Source organism: Homo sapiens, chromosome 17 (assembly GCF_000001405.40).
Source record: "Homo sapiens chromosome 17, GRCh38.p14 Primary Assembly".
NCBI lineage: Eukaryota > Metazoa > Chordata > Mammalia > Primates > Hominidae > Homo > Homo sapiens.
The window spans coordinates 63,503,521-63,522,722 of record NC_000017.11 but is presented as its reverse complement, the minus strand read 5'-3'; the positions used below and the strand labels follow the sequence as shown (position 1 = coordinate 63,522,722).

Genomic DNA, 19,202 nt, shown 5'->3' with positions numbered 1-19,202 from the left:
TCTCCAGCTCAGCTGAGACCTAGGTCCCATGCAGAGCTCCTGCCGCCAAGTCCAGCCAGGGCCTGGTCCTGAGAGGAGGGGGTAGGAGTACACATGAAGACGTGCAAGAAATATGCAATAAGGGCCAGGCGCGGTGGCTCACGCCTGTAATCCCAGCACTTTGGGAGGCAGAGGTGGGCAGATTACCTGAGGTCAGGAGTTTGAGACCAGCCTGGCCAACATGGCGAAGCCCTGTCTCTACTGAAAAAACAAAAATTAGCTGAGTGGTGGCGCAAACCTATAATCCCAGCTACTTGGGAGGCTGAAGTGGGAGAATCGCTTGTACCCGGGAGGCGGAGGTTGCAGTGAGCCGAGATTGCGCCACTGTACTCCAGCCTGGTAGACAGAGCGAGACGCGAGACTCCATCTGAAAATAAAAAGAAAGAAAGAAAGAAGTATGCAATAAGATGCCTTCTTCAGAGGCCTGAGAGCTCTTAGCATACAGGTACATCTTGGAAGGAGAACAGATTTAAAACCACCTATTAGCAAGTGACCACTGATAAAAGTGTCTGAGTACTGAGTACTGACTGAAAATGAACACACTAGAAAAAGCAAATGGGGGTGGGAATAGGTTTATTGAAAGAGGCTTCCTGGAGAGGAAGGGGAGAAGGGGACTACTGTTCACTGAGCATCTGGGTGGGCTTGTAGTGCTGCAGAGGGTTTGGTGAGCAATTTTGAGCCTGATCTTGGAGGGCAAGCATTCAAATGGGGCATGCACCTTAGGCAAAGGCCAAAGGTGATGTCAGTGCAGAGGGGCTGGGGTGGGGGGAACAAGGGGGTGTGGGAGAGGTGAGTTTGGAGGAAGGAGGTAATTAATAAAGACCCTCAGATGCCATTTTGAACATCTAGATTTAATTGATGAACAACCAAGTTCTTAAGCAATTAGACATGAAAGAAATATTCTGGTGACATAAACTTTACAATGGTGGGTGGGGGAGGAAGGATAGACAAGGAGGCTCAGCAAGGTTTTTACTGGAGTCCAGGTGAGAGGCTTAGAGTCCTGGGCTGGATGTGTGTTTGTCATGCAGAGCCACAGTGCCTAGTGGGGGCCTCTTTGGCCACTGTGGCTGGGGGATGAGAAGAGGGCAGAGATGTCCTGGCTGCCCCTCTGTTGGACAGGCTGGCTGTGGAGGAAAAGAAGGGGCTATTTCTCATGAGCTCAGTACATGGGGTGCTGAGCTCTGAGGAGGGACTTGGGCAGTGGGACATTCATTCATTCATTCATTCACTTACTCATTCCATCATTTTCCAAGTCCCTTTTGTGCACCATGGCCTGTGCTGACTAGAGTTGTTACAGAGGGGCACACTCCTGATGTGCATCCAGCTCTTATAGAGCTGATAGCTAGTAATAGGGACAAATAAGGACATTATGGCACAGAAAAGTAAGAGCAGGGACAGAGTCATCAAACAAGGGTGCTGTGGAGCCTGGGGCTGGAGCAAGTGCTTGGGCTCAGCCAGATCTCAGAAAGACCTTTTGAAACCTGGACAGGGGCAGGGTCCATGGAGATCTCAGCCTAGTATCTCTGTCCCCTGAACACCTGAGTTTGGGGCTCAGATTCTTAATTCAGAGAGACCTGGTCTCCTCTTTTGGCCACCCTCCCACCAGCTCAGTTGCAGCCGGGGTACCCCTTCTCTGTAGTTACTGGCTATAATGCCCTTTCCCCTCAAGTTTTCCCTATTCTCTGACAGACACTGACTCCCAGCCTCCCCAGGAGCCCATGCAACCTCCATCCAGACGCTCTGAATCCCCAATATTGAATGTAGGATCCTCATGGCAGGCAGACCCAGGCTGAGGATAATGAACTAGGAAAGGCAGAGGCAGAGGCCTTCCCGTTCTTTCCCCAGGCTTGTTTCTAGAGCACTAATTTCCCAAGTATTCTCCTACAGTTCCCTCCTTCCTGTCCTCCCCATCCCCCACTGAGCCTGAAAAGGTGCTGTTTGTCCTATGCTCGCTCCCCAGGGCAACGGGCCAGGCAGCAGGTGTGTGTGTGTTGAACAAGGCCATCTCCAGAGCAGAGTGGTTGGAGATGAGCTTTGTTTAAATATTAAAGAAGTCAATCATTAATCAAGCCTGGCTCAATGCCCAGCAACCCACTGTCTCCATTTGGAAGGGCTTGGGCTGGGGCAGAGAGAGCCATGGGGCAGTTTGTGAGGCTACTTACATCTCAACTGGTCAACAAAGAGCTTTTGGGGGCTGGATTATGTAGTCCAACACAGGGCTGGCCCAAGGATTAGCAGAAAGATGTGCTGGTTGGTATAAAAGCACAGTGCTCATAAACTGGGCACTGGTGATTCGTAAAGGAATGTCCTGTCCTACCTGAGTACATTTTATGTACTGTGGACTGAAGCAGAGTCCTTTTTCTAACCAGAGCAGAAGTGGACTGAAGCAGAGTCCTTTTTCTAACCAGAGCAGAAATTCCTTGGGCACTGCAGTCCCATAGCCGGGTTACTGAAAAAAACAAGGCTGTGTGCAGAACCAATTCTGGGCATGACTTGGGGTGGGGGCTGGTTTGCAGGGACACAGCCACTGGGTCAATAAAACCTTAGGTCCTGAGCCACCAGGGGAAGGAGTTTGGCCTGAAACCCAGGACACACATAGAATCACATAGAGCCAGTTGTTTGTGCACACAGCCTCACATACATGAGTTTGCAAACACACAATTACAATATCACATGTACCCAGATCTGCCACAGCTGAACCCAATTATAATTGGGCACTATGCATGCAGGCTGTCCCCTCCTCTGCCCCCCAACTCTCTGGCTCAGCCTCCCTCCTCCTGCCCCCCAGCCTCACCAGTTCACTGGTGTCTAGTCCCAACTTCACCATTCAGCTCTTACCCTTGGAGGCTTCCTGCTTTACTGTGTGAAAATCCAGATGGCCAGGCTGATTGAGCACAGCATCAGGACAAGGCAGAGGCCCAGCAGCATCCACTGTCCTTTAGCAGCCTGGCAGGGTTCCATGGCTATGCCCAGGAAGCAGGCATTGGGCAGTGGGCTGAATATCTCAGTGTCTTGAGTCAGTGACTGTTTTTCCAGGGACTGCAGCCTGCAGGCCAGCCCCAGCACCACCAGAGACATGACAAAGCCCAGGGCCAACAGCACCCAGTACCCAAATTTAGCCTGGTTGGGGTCCAGCTTCAGACTCAGGAATGTCACTTTGTCTGTGTCTTTTTCTGTGGAAGACATAGGAGTCTCATAGGGTGGGTAGAACTGGAGAGGGACCCCTGGGGTCTCCTGTGGCTGTCAGAGGAGATCTGATTGGACTACATGCCCCTGCATGCAAGGGACCAGAGGCAAGATGCTGATCCTTTGCTCAGATGTCAGCCTGGCAACCTAGCTGGACAGTGTGCAAGGAAGCAACTGAGCCAGGGGCTGTGGTGGGAGCGGTGGTCTTGGCTGAAGCTGCATCAGGCCTGGTACAGACAGGGTCCCACAGCAGCAGTGCTGTTGATTCAAGCCAGGTCATGAATGAGCCAGGGGTTAAGGCTGGGTAGGGGTAGGTACTAGGACAGAGCAGGGTAAGGTGGAGCCTGGGGCTGGCCCAGAGCTGGAACCAGGGTCAGATTATCAAACCTTCAAAGGAACAGCTGAAGTCTGGCCAGCCTAAGATGTCCCCTTGCTGCATGTTCTGTCACCAGCCAGGTCAGTAGGGGTTTGAAGTAGGTCATGAAGACATTTGTAGACACCTCAGACTCCCCAGTCAGCATCTTTAGGACCTCTGGCCAGGGCTTGCTTGAGCCCAGCTTTAGAGCATCCCTAGGGGAGTGGGTGCAGCTGTGAGGCTGTGTGAGGGCATCAGCTGGTGCAGCTGAGACCCCCAGTGCACCCAATCCCAGCCCCAGCGATTGGCCAGCCAGAACTTTCCCGCAGAGCTTGGCATAGTGGATACAATCACAAGTTTGAAAGAAGATTAATCTGGGTTTGAATCTCAGCTCTGCCATTTAGTAGCTGTGGGGCCTTGGGCAAGTAACCTTTCTGAGCCTCAGTTTCCATATCCATAAAACGGAGATGATAATGGTATCTACCTCGAAGAGCCATTGTAATGATTAAATAAACACGGTGCTGGGAGCATAGCATGCAGGCAATACACGTTAACTACTGATGATGATGATGATTCCTAGTACTACTGGTAATACTGTGATGATTATTATTCTCCTGGACTCAAATAGGCATAAAGTCCTGAGACACTGTTTCCCGTGAGGTGCTCGGTGTTGGTAGATAGTGGCAGCTCTTCACCCCTTTCTGGTTTCAGGGAGGGTTTGGGAGGATTAGAAACATCATGAGCATGGGAGGTGCTCCGCACACCACCTGTAGTGCTGCACAAATGTCAGCTGTGTTTCACGGCACACCCGGTCCTTAGGGGCAGGTGGTTGAACTTTATGCTAGGTCCCTTGGGCTCACAATGGGAGTATAAGGTGTGCTGAAGCCAGGGCTCCAGGCTTCTCCACTCCAGAGTCCCCAGGAGAGGCAGTGGTGGGCAGATGTTTATCCTTCACAACCTGTTGTTCCTTGATCCAACTCTCAGGACAGACTTGGGACCCAGAGGCCCAGAGGTCACGATCTAGAGTCTAGACTAACAGGGCCCAGGCTTAAACCTGACCTAGCAGTGCTACTTATGGACTGCATAACCTTAAGCAGACAACTTAGCCTCTCTCGGCCTCAGTTTCCTCATCAGTAAAATGGGAGCCATGAATACCTGCCCTCATTGTGATGAGGACTAAGTCCCACAATGATGAAGGAGGGTTTGTAGCTTGCAAAGGCTTATGCGCATCACTTAATAAACAACTGGAAAAGAAAGAGTTAGGGAAACCAAAGGTCAGTGGGGCCTTGGCAGATACCACTGGAGAAGAAAAACCACAACTAACTCTAGGTAAGAGGTTCTGATGCTGGCTCCTGAGTAAGAGGAAGAACCTAGTAGGGGAAAAGCTTCAACCATTGAGAATCTACCCATTTAGAAACAGTCCTTCAGGCTGGGTGGGACAAGATGTTTGACCAAAGGGCAGCCAACAGCCCATGTGGACAGGACATGAGACCAGAGAGCAGCAGAGATGACAACTAGATGCTGCCTGGAGCTTTCAACTCCAAAGTGACAACAACACACCCCATGGACAAGGTCAGGCGCACCATGGCTGGTGGGGTGAAGCTGGGTGACTTTGAGAACTTTGACCAGGCCCAATTCAACCCTCCATTCCCAACAGAAGCAGCCCAGAGCCTGACTCAGGGCCATCACATTTAGGAGGATGAATCAAAAGTAGCAAAACCAAGTTTTAAGATCAATTAGGCAAAAGAGCAGCCAAGAATCTTTCTCTTTTCCCCCTGCAAGCACTCACATCCCCTCTCCCCTCCACAAACCATATTCGGCTCTGCTGCTATTTCATCATCTGCAAAGGTCATGATATCCTCCTTACTCAGAAACCTTTCCTCTGCCCACGGCTCACAAAATGGTATGTGAAGTCCTAAGCCTGGAATCAGGATTTTCCCTGAGCAGGAGTCTGGCCAGGGACACACAGGGACTGGTGAGCAATGACAAGAGATGACTCACTGGCCACATGCTTTGGTGCCAAGTCAGACCCTGAGAGCCCTGTGCACCTTGAGTGGGGTGAGCGTGGGAAGTGGTGAAAATGACTGAGGTCAAACATCCCACCAATCAGGTGGGATGAAAGAGGTGAGTTGATGTAAAAGAAAACAGATATCTTGGCCAGGCGTGGTGGCTCACACCTGTAATCCCAGCACTTTTGGAGGCTGAGGTGGGTGGATCCCTTGAGGCCAGACGTTCGAGACCAGCCTGGCCAGCATGGTAGAACCCCGTCTCTACTAAAAATGCAAAAATTAACCAGGCGTGGTGGTGTGTGCCTGTAATCCCAGCTACTCTGGAGGCTGAGGCACGAGAATTGCTTGATCCCAGGAGGTGGAGGTTGTAGTGAGTCGAGATCATACCACCGCAGTCCAGCCTGGGTGACAGAGTGAGACTGTCTCAAAAACAGAAAAGAAAAGAAGAGAGGAAAAGAAAAGAAAAGAAAACAGATATCTGCTATTTTTTTCTCTTTCTTCTTCTCCTTTTTTTTTTTTTTTTTTAAACGGGGGTCTCGCTCTGTTGCCGAGGGTGAAGCACAGTGGTGTGATCTCAGTTCACTGCAGCCTCGACCTCCCAGGCTTAAGTGATCCTCCTACCTCAGCCTCCTGAGTAGTTGGGACTACAAGTGCGTGCCACCATGCCTGGCCAAATTTTGTTCATTTTTTGTAGATACAGGATCTAACCATGTTGCCCACTCTGGTCTCAAACTCCTAGGTTTAAGGGATCCTCCCATCTTGGCTTTTCCAAAGTTTTGAGGTTATAGGTATGAGCCACCATGCCTGCTTTCTGCTATTTCTTGCACACTTGCATTTGAGGACAAAACTCCCTCCTTGGTCCCCCAGCATGACCTCCTAATCCTCTTTCTATGTTCACGAAAGCCCCTTTCCATTGCCTGGTATTATGAAATTTATTTATTTACTTATTTATTTATTTATTTATTTGAGATGGAGTTTCCCTCTTGTCGCCCAGGCTGGAGTGCAGTGGCATGATCTCGGCTCACTGCAACCTCCGCCTCCCAGGTTCAAGCAATTCTCCTGCCTCAGCCTTCCAAGTAGCTGCGATTACAGGCAACCATCACCACTCTCAGCTAATTTTTTGTATTTTTAGTAGAGACGGGGTTTTTCCATGTTGGGCAGGCTGGTCTCGAACTCCTAACCTCAGGTGATCCGCCAGCCTCAGCCTCCCAAAGTGCTGGGATTACAGGTGTGAGCCACCATGCCCGGCCATGAAATTTATTTATCCTGTGGTTCATCTACCCCTGTTGGATGCAGAGCAGCTGGTCTGCATGAGGACAAGTAAATGTTTACTGAATGAATAAATGACAGGCAGCCAGAGATAGGAATGCAAAGAGCAGAGAGGTGCCCTTATGTTCAACATGTTCAGAAAAGCTCAAAGCTGGGCAATCAGCTAGAATAAAGCCCTGAGACGTGAAAGGATGGAAGAGCAAATCTACTAGGGAGACAACAGTCATGCAAGGTGCAGCCCTCCCTAGGAGCAAAGCCCAGGGGATCAGTCCTGAAACCCCATCTGGCCTGGTGGCTACAGATAAATTGCATGGTGGAATCAAAAATATGCTCATTAAATTTGCAAAGGATACTAAATTTGTGGCAGTGTTAATCCTCTAGGAGACAGGAATAAAGCTCAAGATGACCTTGACCAATTAGGGAAATGGACCTATTGAAATCCGTTGAAATTCAACAGGAAAATGATCAAGTCGGTGGGTGAGCTCCACATCTCCAAGGTTGGAGTGCTGATCTTGGAACCAGTTAGACCTGGATCTAAGCTCACCAGGGGCTGTATTCTTTGAATGATGGAGGCGAACAGGGTGAAAGATAATGTGTTCTGGAGTCAGTTCTGGTTTCAAAGCATGACTTTGCTTCTTGCTAGATGAATGATGCACAACGACACCACCTCTCTTGCCTTCAGTTTCATAATTTGTAAAAGGCAGATAATAATATCCACTTTGCAAAGTTAAGAGCTATTATTATAATATGAAACACTGTAAGAGTACTCATCAGAGAGCACCTCCTGTAGTAGTAAATGCTTCACATTTTCAGTTCAGTCCCCTACTCCCTCAGGGTTTGCTTTGGGACTAAAAACCACTGCCACATAGGTAAGCATGGAAAGAATAAGCTAAACACCAAGTGCAGAGAAAAAGACTCAAGGGTCAAAGTGGACCACAGGCTGACCAGAAGCATGCCAAGAGGCTACTGTGAAAGTAACCTGGATCAGCCTGGGAACTGGATTTGGGCACCTCCAAGAAGAGGTGGGAGAAACAGACTGCACTGAAGGGTGTGCCAAGTGCTGCTGAGAGGGTAGGTCAGCACCTTGTAAGGAAAGGATAAGGGGGATTCGGACGGAAGGCTGAAGCCTGAGGTAGAACCCCAGTGCTGGCTTCCTATCTGGGACAGTTTGGCTTACTGGCATATGTGTGTGCATGTGTGTGTGTGTGTGTGTTAGTGGGAGGGGCTAAACATTGTCTTTTCTTTCTTTCTTTTTTTTTTTTTGAGATGGAGTTTCACCTTGTTGCCCAGGCTGGAGTGCAATGGTGCAGTCTCGGCTCACTGCAACATCCACCTCCCACATTCAAGTGATTCTCCTGCCTCAGCCTCTCAAGTAGCTGGGATTACAAGTGCCTGCCATCACGCCCGGCTAATTTTTGTATTTTTGGTAGAGACGGGGTTTCACTATGTTGGCCAGGCTGGTTTCAAACTCCTGCCCTCAGGTGATCCGCCTGCCTCGACTTCCCAAAGTGCTGGGATTACATGCATGAGCCACTGCGCCCAGCCTAAGCAGTGTCTCTGAACACAGAAGGCTACACAAGAGGAAATGGGCTCTGATTAATGTAGGAAAGACTGCAGTCTGACATGAGGAAGAAATTCCGCTAGAATATAAGCTTAATGAAGCTCTGCTCAAGGTGTCTAGTGTAGTCAGGTGTGGAGAGGGAGCCTGGAGCAGGACTTCCTTAAAGGGAGATGGGGGAGCCCAGAACAAATGAAGGAGAGGGCACTCACCCCAGGAGCTTCCCGGCAATCTTGGAGTTGTAGATGTCACACTGGTGCAGTGGACCCATGTGGCCCGAGGCTTTGCACAGTGTTTCGTGGAACTGGAACTGGAGCACCAGACTGAGGAAGTACCTGGTTGAGAAACGTGAGGGCAGGCTGGGGAGTGGAGACCAGGAGTGGGAAACTCAGAGCCACTTGGGACCAGGCAGCTCTGACATGCAGTGGCCACGAGGGCCCCATGTCAGCAGTCACTGCCTGAGCGGAGGCTCCTTGGGCAGGGCCCAGTCTTGGGCTGACCCTAGAGTGCTGGGGGGCTCTCCTTCTCTAGCTTTCTGAACCAGCAGTCACCCCAACCCTTGCCCCCCTCTGACCTGCTCTCCTCCAAGGGACAGCAGGGATGGTCTAGAATATTCTCATCAGCTCTGCCCTCTACACTGGACCTGATGCAAAAGCTCAAAGGATTCTAGGTCAGAGGCCTCAGAAGGCTGCACAGCCCAACAGGAAGAGATGGGCACGGGTACAGGGTGACATTTGGACCTAGGGCCTTCCTGCAAATCCTCACCCCAGTTCCCATGCCCCTCAACTCCTAGGACTGGCACTGCTAACAGGGCCCAGACCTTTACCGTATGTAGGGCACACCTGCAGAAAAGTGGAACTTGGCACCTGGATCAAAGTCTTCCTCTGAGTGAGGAATAGCGGGGCACAAGCCCTGGTATTTCAACCTGGCAGGGAAAAGGCAGAGGGCTTGGTGGTGGTGTCTGGCAGGTTCTCAGAGCCTCTTTCTTTTCCTTCCTTCCTTCCTTCCTTCCTTCCTTCCTTCCTTCCTTCCTTCCTTCCTTCCTTCCTTCCCTCCCTCCCTCCCTCCCTCCCTCCTTTCTTCCTTTCCTTCTTTTCTTCTTTCTTTTTTTTTTTTTTTCAGAGTCTTGCCCTGTTGCCCAGGCTGAAGTTCAGTGGCGTGATCTCAGCTCACTGTAACCTCCCCACCCTGGGTTCAAGTGAGTCTCTTGTCTCAGCTTCCCAAGTAGCTGGGATTATAGGCGTGAGCCACCGCACCTGGCCTGCCTTTTTCTTTTCAAAGCACCTACGTGTCTATCAAAACTGGACTTGGCAGGCTGAGGATACCTAATGCATTTTTATTGATTAAATAAATGAAAACACATGGGATTGGGAATCAGAGTAAAACAATAGCAGTTAACACTGACTGAACACTTCCTCTATGCTCAGAACCATGTCTGGCTCTCCACATAGACTCACGCATCATGCACTCAACACCGTCCTGGTCTCTGGGGGAGGGACCAGTGGGGGAGCGGGGGAGGCAAGGCCCCTGCTTGCATCCTAACAGTGGGGGACAGATTATAGACCAATAAACAAGGTCATTTCATCTAGTAAGAAGTCTTGAGAAGAAAAAAGAGTAACATCACTGTGGGGCAGTACTACTATTATTCCCATTTTGCAGATGAGGAAACCAAGGTTTGGAGATCAGGGAATTGGCCTCAGGACACAGAGCCAGTCACAGTCACACCCTGATAACCTGAAGGTCTGTTTTTGCCCCTCTGAGATGTGCGACTGTGGGAAAGTTGCTGATTGTCTCCGAGTCTTGTTGTAAAATGTCTATAAAATGGAAGGAAGTAGGCCAGGTGTGGTGGCTCACACCTGTAATCCCAGCACTTTGAGAGGCTGATGTGGGAGGATTGCTTGAGCCCAGGAGTTCGAGACCAGCCTGGGCAACAAAGTGAGACCCTGTCCCCACAAAAAATACAAAAATGAGCCAGGTGTTCTGGTGCGCAACTGTAGTCCCAGCTACTCAGGTGCTGAGGCAGGAGGATCGCTTGAGCCCAGGAGGTCAGGGCTGCAGTGAGCCATGATTGCACCACTGCACTCCAGCCTGGGCAACAGAGTGAGACCCTGTCTCAAAAACAAGGCTTCATCATTGGCTCACTGGAGCCTCTGAACCATCTCCAAGGTCAACAGAGTGTCAGGAGCTTCCCTCCCAGTTGACAGGGCCTTATTCAAGGCCCAGGGAGTTGCCACCCCTCCTGCTTAGCCCCAGGGTTCCATCAGCTGGGGTGATGGGCAGGGCTGACAGAGGCCTCCTGCAGGTGCCTCAGATGGCCTATGAGGGTGACCTTAGAGAGGCACGAGGTCAAGACTCTGCCAAGCCCACCAGGGAGACCTGCTCCTGAAGTCAAGGGTGGGAGTAAGAGGACAAGGGGAGGAGCTCCCAGCTCTGTCACCTGCTCGTTTGCTGTGTGACCTCGGGCTGGTTTGTGACCTCTGTGAGCTTCAGCTGTTGCTTCTGTGAGCTGAGCGCTTTGAAGTGATCACAACGCAAGGTGGTTGTAAATGTTCAAATTAAACATAAGAGGCCGGGCACAGTGGCTCATGCCTGTAATCCCCGCATTTTGGGAGGCCTAGGCAGGCAGATCCCTTGAGCCCAGGAGTTTAAACCTGGGCAACATGGCGAACCCCATCTCTTAAAAAAAAATTACACAAAACTAGCCAGTATAGTGGCGCACACCTATAGTCCCAGCTACTCAGGAGGCTGAGGAAGGAGGATTGGTTGAGGCTGGGAGGTCAGGGCTGCAGTGAGCCGTGATCATACCACTATACTCCAGCCTGAGTGACAGAGCGAGGCCCTGTCTCAAAAAACAAACAAAAAAAGTAAGAGCCTGTTGCAGAGCCAGGAGCACCCCCTGGCAACCCCGAATCACACTATGACCAGCAGACTGAAGCTGGTCAGTCCGCGGCCTGCCACATATGGAGGAGCCCTGGTCACAGGCATTTATTATCCCATCAAATGGCCAGGGGTCAGTGATGAGGTGTAACACGGGGGTCCCTCACTCGAGAGTGATGCCTCCCAACTGCTGGTGGGTTCCCATGGCAGCTTGGGGATGTTAAGCCCGAGGCAGGCATGCGTGCATTTTAGGGGCCTGCCTCTCTCCCATGGGGAGTCTTTCCCCAGAAAGGAAAGTGCTCAGGCCCCCGCACACTCCATTGCCTGGCACCAGGAAGGGAGGGAGGTTTGGGAGGGCCTGCCTGGTGGTCAGTGTTCTGTGATTAGAGAAGCTCAGTTGCAATCATTGTGTGAGCTTCCCAGCTACCCAGGGAGCAGGTGGGGCCATCACCAGGGTCCATTTTTCACAGATGAGGAGACTGAAGCCTAGAAAGGCTAAAAGACCTGCTCAGTGCCTGTGTGGAAGATTAGAGAGGTTCTTGTGCTGCAGAAAGTCCTGGAAATGGCCCATCTGGTGGAAGATGGTGCCCAACCCACCTGAGGTTCCACCACTCCTGATTGTAGATGTCCTTCCAGATGGTGCCGTCAAAGACCTTCCAGCGAAGGAGGTCCATCAGGTAGCCAAAGGGGATGAAGGCGATCTTCTCCAGGGCAATATGCATCAGGAAATTGACCTCATCCTCTGGGAAGAGGGTGAGGGCAGTCAAGAGGCAACCCCTGGGATCTCCTTCCCGTAGCTTTGCCCGAGAGCCCTGACCCCACCAAGCCCTAGCTGCGGTCCCAGGCTTGTGCTGCCCTCCTGCTGGGCCCTTGATCCTCATCACCTGAGTCCTGGTGCTAGAGGCTGAGCAGGCCTATGTTGAGCAGGTGCTTGTGGGAGGAGGCCGAGAGGGTGATCACAGACCCCACAGCCTCTTCAAAGGCTGGGTTGGCACCTGCGCGGAAGATGATGGAGAGGTTCTTGTACTGCAGGAAGTACTGGAATGGCCCATTTCGTGGAAGATGGAGAGCGGGTCTTCTGTGGTCACTTCCGCGCACTTCTTTATTCTACAAGCAAAGGGCATGGGTCAAGGAGCATGGAGAAAGGGAGTTTCCCCATTCAGACTCCTTGAGGGATTGGGTGGTCGGGTTGGAGCCCAGACAGGCCTTGGCAGTTGTTCTTTTTTTTTTTTTTCTTTTGAGACGGAGTCTTGCTGTGTCTCCCAGCTGGAGTGCAATGGTGCGATCTTGGCTCACTGCAGCCTCCGGCTCCCAGGTTCCAGTGATTCTCCTGCCTCAGCCTCCTAGCTGGGATTACAGGCACATGTCACCATGCCTGGCTAATTTTTGTATTTTTAGTAGAGACAGGGTTTCACCATGTTGGCCAGGCTGGTCTCGAACTCCTGACCTCACGTGATCCACTGCCTTGGCCTCCCAAAGTGCTAGGATTACAGGCGTGAGCCACCATGCCCGGCCGGCAATTGTTCTTTCTTACTCCAGGCCCCATATCCACCCAGCAACCAAGCCCTTTCCTCTCACGTCACCTTTCCTTCTGTGTTTCTCACTTGCCTTCTCCCTCCTCTGCCCTGGCTTTCCCCTGCCCATACCTAAGACAGCCAGACAGGGCAGAGGAGAGGACCGGGTGTGTGGTGCCGCTGTGAGCACCTGAAATCGTCGTCCTGGTAGAAGTTCCAGGCAGAGATGTGACACTCCACCTCTCGCCCATCGGTTGGCCTCATTAGCATCAACTTTTTCCAGAAACTGGGTGGGGCAGGTGGCAGCGCCAAGGAGGTGAAGAATGTCTCAGCCTCTTCCAACATTTTCTCTGGCTTCCAGTGCTATGGGAGAAGAGGGGGTGTGGGGGGCGCTGCCCTGTTTGTCCAAGGATGCCAGTGGGGAGGGGCAGGGACAGACAGGCCAAGCACTAACCTGGACTTTCATGATCTTTGTGACATCCTCTGGGATCTTCTTCAGGAAGGGCAGGACCGGGTCTAAGATGTTGACCCAGGACTGAGCCAACGTGTTCTCTGGAAGAGGAGGAGAGGGGCTAAGAGGAGGCTGGAGACAGTCTCTGCCCTTATCTGGCACTCACCTTGGCCACCAGCAGGGCCTTTACCCAGGAGGTGGGCAGGGATGGGCCCCCTCAGGTCGATGAGCTCGGGCCCATAGTGGCGGTGGAGGGCCCTGCGCACGTAGGTGTGCAGGTTCAGGTAGAGTGGCCGCAGCTCCTGGAATAGCCGCTCCAGGTCTTGCTCCAGGGTATCCGACTCATACTTGGAGTGCCACAAGGCCCCCATGTCTTTGTAACCTAGGACAGGAGAGAGGACTCACCAGGAGCTCACCATCTCACCCTTTAGCCATGGCCTAGCTGACAGGATACCCAGACGCCTTCTAGGGAAGCCACTCAACCTCGCTGACCGTCTGGGTCTTCTTTGGCAAAACGGGGAGAATACCTGCCCATTTCAGAAAGGCACTGAGCAAAGTCCATGATCCGAGCTCCCCACCATGCCTGCAAGGCCCTGAGTCCCCTCTTATCCCACCTCATCCTTAGCCCTGTGGCCACCTGGGCTTCTTTCAGGTCTTCCAGAGCACCGGCTCCTCCTGCCGCGGAGCCTCTGCCTAGGCTGCTCTTCTTTCACATCTTGCTTCCCGTCTTTTGCCCATCTTTCAGGTCTTGGATAAATGTCAGAGGCCTTCCCTGTCCACTTGTCTGCAGCAGCCTCTTCTCATTCTCTTTCTCAGCAGCCTCTTCCTATTCCGCATCACCCCAGATGGTAGTGAGAGACAGGTGTTTACTGAATATGGTCTGTCTCCCTGCAGGACCGTAGGTGCATGAGGGCAGGTGCCTGTCTTTTCACCTATGTGTCGTCAGAACCTCCCCAGCACCTAGCACCTAGGTGCTCTATGAATATTTGGAGAGCCCAGCTGCAGGGCTCATAGGTCCTGTCTCCAGGGCCCTACGGCCACCTTCACTCTGGGAAAGCTCAGCTTTGCCCCTTCCTTGCCATCACTCCAAGCTCTGTGGCATCCCATCTGCTCACCGTTGAGCTGTGCAGCCTTGTTGCTGAGCTCCACATAGTGCTCGAAGGTGGTGCAGATCTGGCGGCCCACGGCATCCTGCCAGCCCTGCCAGGCCCACAGCAGCTCCTCTTTGTCCCTGGAGGTGGCCATGACTTCGAGTTCTATGCCCAGAAAAGGAGCCATGGGGGACCCACTCCCACTTGCCTCTTCCCTCACCCTCCTGGCAATAAGGGAGGGTGGTTGGGGGCTGGGAGGGGCCCCTGGAAGGGACTGAGTGCTGGAGATTCTGTGGTTGGGTGGGACAGGGCTTGGGTGTTCACCAGACTCCAGGGACAGGCAGGGCCCCTCATTCAGGCACACCTGGGCCATACTGTATGTCATCTCCAGGTAGGCCAGAAGCTCGTTATACTGGGGGGACAGGTGTTACCCAGGGTAGGCTGGTGCCCCAGGTCCCCCCCCAGTGCTCGCCCCACCAGCCAGGAGAGATCGGTACCCCCACCTCTACTCCTCTCCTTCTCCAGAGGAAGTTCTGATCCTGCCCTTCCTCCACTCCCTGCCTCCCTCCTGCCCCAGGCACTCTGTCTCCCCTACCAGACCCCTAGGACCAGGGAGCATGTGCCTAAAGGCCTGGGGGTTCCATCCATCACCTCCCGCAGCTCGTCCTTGGACAGAGCCGCCTTGTCTATGTTCTGCAGCTTACTCAGCATGCCATTCACATCCGGGTCCTTGAACTGGGTGACTTTAAACAGGTGGGCCTGGGTGCCAAAGTAAATCATGAACTGGGACCTCTCCATGTCCTTGTGCAGCTGCAAAGAGAGCCACCAAGGTTGGGGGACAGGGGAAGGGTCCCACTTGACCTCCAGGGCCATGGCACCCTAACTGACTCCCTAATCCCATTGGCTTAGGGAGCAAGATTTGCTGAGAGGGAGAGGGCAGAAACCTGGATCTCTAAAAGCAAGGAGGTGAGATTTACAAAGGACAAGAAGCAAGAGATTCTTGCCTGGAGGAAGTTTAGGGCTTCCAGGAGGCCCAGAGCTTGCAGCCCTCTTTGACATGTACACTGGGGCTTCCCTTGTTCCTCTTGCTTGGGATGGGGGCAGGAGATGTGGTGCCCCATGGTCCCAAATCCCTAAAAAGAGCAAAGAGAGGAGAGGCTGGGGTGGAGGTGGTATCACATCATCTCCTCCTGATTTTTCCTGGTGATATTGGTGACATAGTTCCAAGTGGCCTCCATGAACTTGTTCAACACAACTTCACCTGTTTGGTCATAAAACTGCAGGAAGATCTTGGTCTCGGTCTCATTGTAGAAGTCATCTGCAGGGAAGGATATGGGCATCATGTGCTGAGAAGGTCCTGTCCGCACCCAGTCCCTTTGTCTGGTCCCATGCTTCTTGGGGTCCCAGCCACACCTAAACTGTGTTCACCCTTGATCCTGAGCCAAGGCAAGAGCTGCCCATAACAGAGGAGCACAAGTAGGGAAGGTCCAGGGCAAGTCCACCTTGCTCCCATGACCAACAGAGCAGCAGAGCTGGGTGAGGCCAGCTCCATATTGTGACGTCAGAGGCCAGAGGCTCAGCTACAGAATGTTAGAACTGGAAATCCCCATCCACCTCCTGGTCCAACTGTCCCCATTTTACAGGTGGGGAGACTGAGGTCCAGAAAGTCAAGCCAAATGATCTGGTTCATGTAGTTAGCTAATGGCGAGCCAAAAAGAGGAACCAGGGGTCTTGACTTTTAGGCCAGAACTTGTTCTGCTCTCCTCGGCCACTTTTCCCTGGGGCTTGAGCCACCCTTGGGTTATGGCCAGGGATTGATGAGGCCCTCCCTCCATAGGCTGGGACCACTTCTGAGCAGGTGGATGGGATGATGGATGGATGGATGGATGGATGGATGGATGGATGGATGTGATATATCTGGGTCTCTGGAAGCCAGGTTATCTCTCTAGGTTCTTCTAACTTGACCTCTTATGTTCACGTGTTTGGGCTTTTTCTCTCTTATGGGCTGTGCAATCAACCCCAGGGCTGTGCAGGGCCCTCCCCATCATACCTGTTTCTCCAGGGAGACCCTGATGTTATGAGTTTGCAATTAGGAGAGGGCACACAAGGTAGGGACTGGGTGGGGTGTGGAGAGGTGAGGCGGGCACCCTCCATCCAGGGTGCATGCCCATGAGTACCTGAGCCTGATCTGAAAACCAGCTGGCAAGACACCAGCTCTCTGTAGGCCTGTGGTCACCCCCAGTACTCTTGCACTGAGGTCTGTGGAGGCCAGCTCCATCTGTCTCACCTTGGATTTCTCCTCAGACTCACTTCCCTCCACACTCAGAATCCCTGTACCCTGGGTTGCCTTCCATCACTCTCAGCCCACAATGGCTCACATCTTCAAAAAGGCCCTACCTCTACACATGGGCTGATACCACGACTAGAGAAACTGACCAAATAACCCCCCAATATGATCCATTATGGGTAAAATATATTTATAACATGAGGAAAGAAAGAAAAAAATAGTGACACTTCTGGTTAAGCTGATCGACTGAGCTCACAGGAAAGTCTCCCTTCCTGCTTCAAGCATGTAGACAGTCCATTCTCACATTGCTATAGAGAACTACCTGAGACTGGGTAATTTATAAAGAAAAGAGGTTTAGTTGGCTCTACAGTTCCACAGGCTGTACAGGAAGCACGGCTGGGGAAGCCTCAGGAAACTTACAATCATGGTGGAAGGCGAAAGGGAAGCAGGCACATCTTCACATGGTGGCAGGAGAGAGAGAGAAGGGGGAGGCGCTACACACTTTTAAACAACCAGATCCTGAGAACTCAGTCACTATCACGAGAACGGCAAAGGGGAAGTCTGCCTCCATGATTCAACACGCCCACCTCTCCTCTAACACAGGGGAGGTCAGGGTGCATCCATCCAGAGAGCTGCAGCATTGGTGTGGGGGGATAGCTGATCCCGATGGAAATGGCGTCTCTGCCAAGCTGGGAGCCCCTGCAAGCGTCAGGTGCATGCATGGGATTGTGCAGGCCATTCCAACCCAACTGAAGATGGCTGATAGGTACAGTTTACCAAGTATAAGAGAAAATCCAGTTTTAGGAGGGACAATAATAATTACCAACCCTCACTGTGGGTTGGTTCCAGGTGCCAGGGACCATCTGGGGGCTTTCAACATATGAATCCTCACAAGAAACCCATGAGGTAAGTACTGTGATCAACGCTCCCATTTTACAGATGAGGAAAGAGAGGTACAGAACGGTTGAGGAATTTGCTCATAGTCACACAGCCAGCGGATGGTGGAAGTGGGACTCAAATTCATATGGTTGGTTCCAGAGCTTGTGCTAAACTGCAGACACAATGAATGAAGCAGACTGCAATGGAGGAAGGACAAGTAGCAGAGCAATCCAAAAGGGACTTAAAATGCAGGTCTTTATGCCATGTATAAAAATTAACTCAAAAATGGATCACAGCTTATTTTCTTTTTTCAATTTAAAAGAGTACATTTAAGGCTGGGCACAATGGCTCATGTCTGTAATCCCAGCACTTTGGGAGGCTGAGGCAGGTGGATCACTTGAGGTCAGGAGTTCAAGACCAGCCTGACCAACATGGTGAAATCCTGTCTCTACTAAAAATACAAAAATTAGCCAGGCATGGTGGCACATGCCTCTAATCCCAGCTACTCGGGAGGCTGAGGCTGGAGAATCGCTTCAACCTGGGAGGCAGAGGTTGCAGTGAGCCAAGATCACACCACTACACTCCAGCCTGGGTGACAGAATGAAACTCTGTCTCAAAAAATAAATAAATAAAATAAAAATAATAAAATAGTACATTTAACACCTTATCTTGGACAATGTGACAGTCATGAGATCTTTGTGTAGGAGAAGAAAGAGGGAACAAAAGAGCAAAGTCTACAAAATTCTTAGAACACAGAGGGAAGTTTCATGACATTGGATTTGGCAATGATTGCTTGGATATGACATCAAAAGCACAGGCAACAAAAGAAAAAATAAGCAAATTGAACCTCATCAAAATTTTAAACTTTTGCATATCAAAAAACACTGTAACAGAGCAAAAAGGCAATCCATGGAATGGGAGAAAATATCTGTTACTCTCAGATCTGCTAAGGAATTAATACCCAGAACGCATAAAGAACTCCTCAAACTCAAACATTCAGAGATGGGCAAAGGGCCAGGCGTGGTGGCTCACACCTATAATCCCAGCACTTTGGGAGGCTGAGGTGGGTGGATCACCTGAGGTCAGGAGTTCAAGACCAGCCTGACCAATACGGTGAAACCCCGTCTCTACTAAAAAAATACAAAAATTAGTCGGGCATGGTGGTGGGCGCCTGCAGTCCCAGCTACTCAGGAGGCTGAGACAGGAGAATTGCTTGAACCCAGGAGGCAGAAGTTGCAGTGAGCCGAGATTGCCTCGCCGCACTCCAGCCTGGGTGACAGAGTGAGACTCCACCTCAAAACAAACAAACAAACACAAACAAACAACGACAACAAAAACAAAGATGGGCAAAGGACTCGGGTAGACATCTCTCTAAAGAAAATACATGAGCTGCTCATCAGCACAGGAAAATATGCTCAATATCACTAATTATTAGGGAAAGGCAAATCAAAGCCACCACTTCACACCCATTAGGATGGCTGTTATCAAAAAAACAGAAAACAAGAGTCGGTCAACGTGTGGAGAAATTGGAAACCTTGTGCATTGCTGGGGGAAAATGGCAGAGCCGCTGCGGAAAACAGTCTGGTGGGTCCTCAAAAAAAATGAAGCATAGAATTACCATATGATCGGGCAATCCTCCTGGGTATATACACAAAAGAACTGAAAGCTGGGACTCAAACAGATATTT

At 51.4% G+C, this 19,202-nt stretch overlaps 1 pseudogene, besides 3 other annotated features; it reads right to left on the bottom strand.

The window, feature by feature from the left end:
* On the bottom strand, positions 2,896-15,689 carry ACE3P (angiotensin I converting enzyme 3, pseudogene; annotated as a pseudogene).
* Positions 4,848-6,047: an enhancer, noted in NCBI's record as "P300/CBP strongly-dependent group 1 enhancer chr17:61594037-61595236 (GRCh37/hg19 assembly coordinates)". NCBI's record gives its function as "activates an origin of replication core promoter dependent on BRD2, BRD4, P300/CBP, MED14 and CDK7 cofactors, with strong dependence on P300/CBP, by STARR-seq in HCT116 cells {active_cell/tissue: HCT116}" and the evidence as "EXISTENCE:reporter gene assay evidence [ECO:0000049][PMID:35650434]".
* Positions 5,742-5,851: an enhancer, noted in NCBI's record as "active region_12547". NCBI's record gives its function as "activates an Ori minimal core promoter by ATAC-STARR-seq in GM12878 lymphoblastoid cells {active_cell/tissue: GM12878}" and the evidence as "EXISTENCE:reporter gene assay evidence [ECO:0000049][PMID:35858748]".
* Positions 7,394-7,443: an enhancer, noted in NCBI's record as "active region_12546". NCBI's record gives its function as "activates an Ori minimal core promoter by ATAC-STARR-seq in GM12878 lymphoblastoid cells {active_cell/tissue: GM12878}" and the evidence as "EXISTENCE:reporter gene assay evidence [ECO:0000049][PMID:35858748]".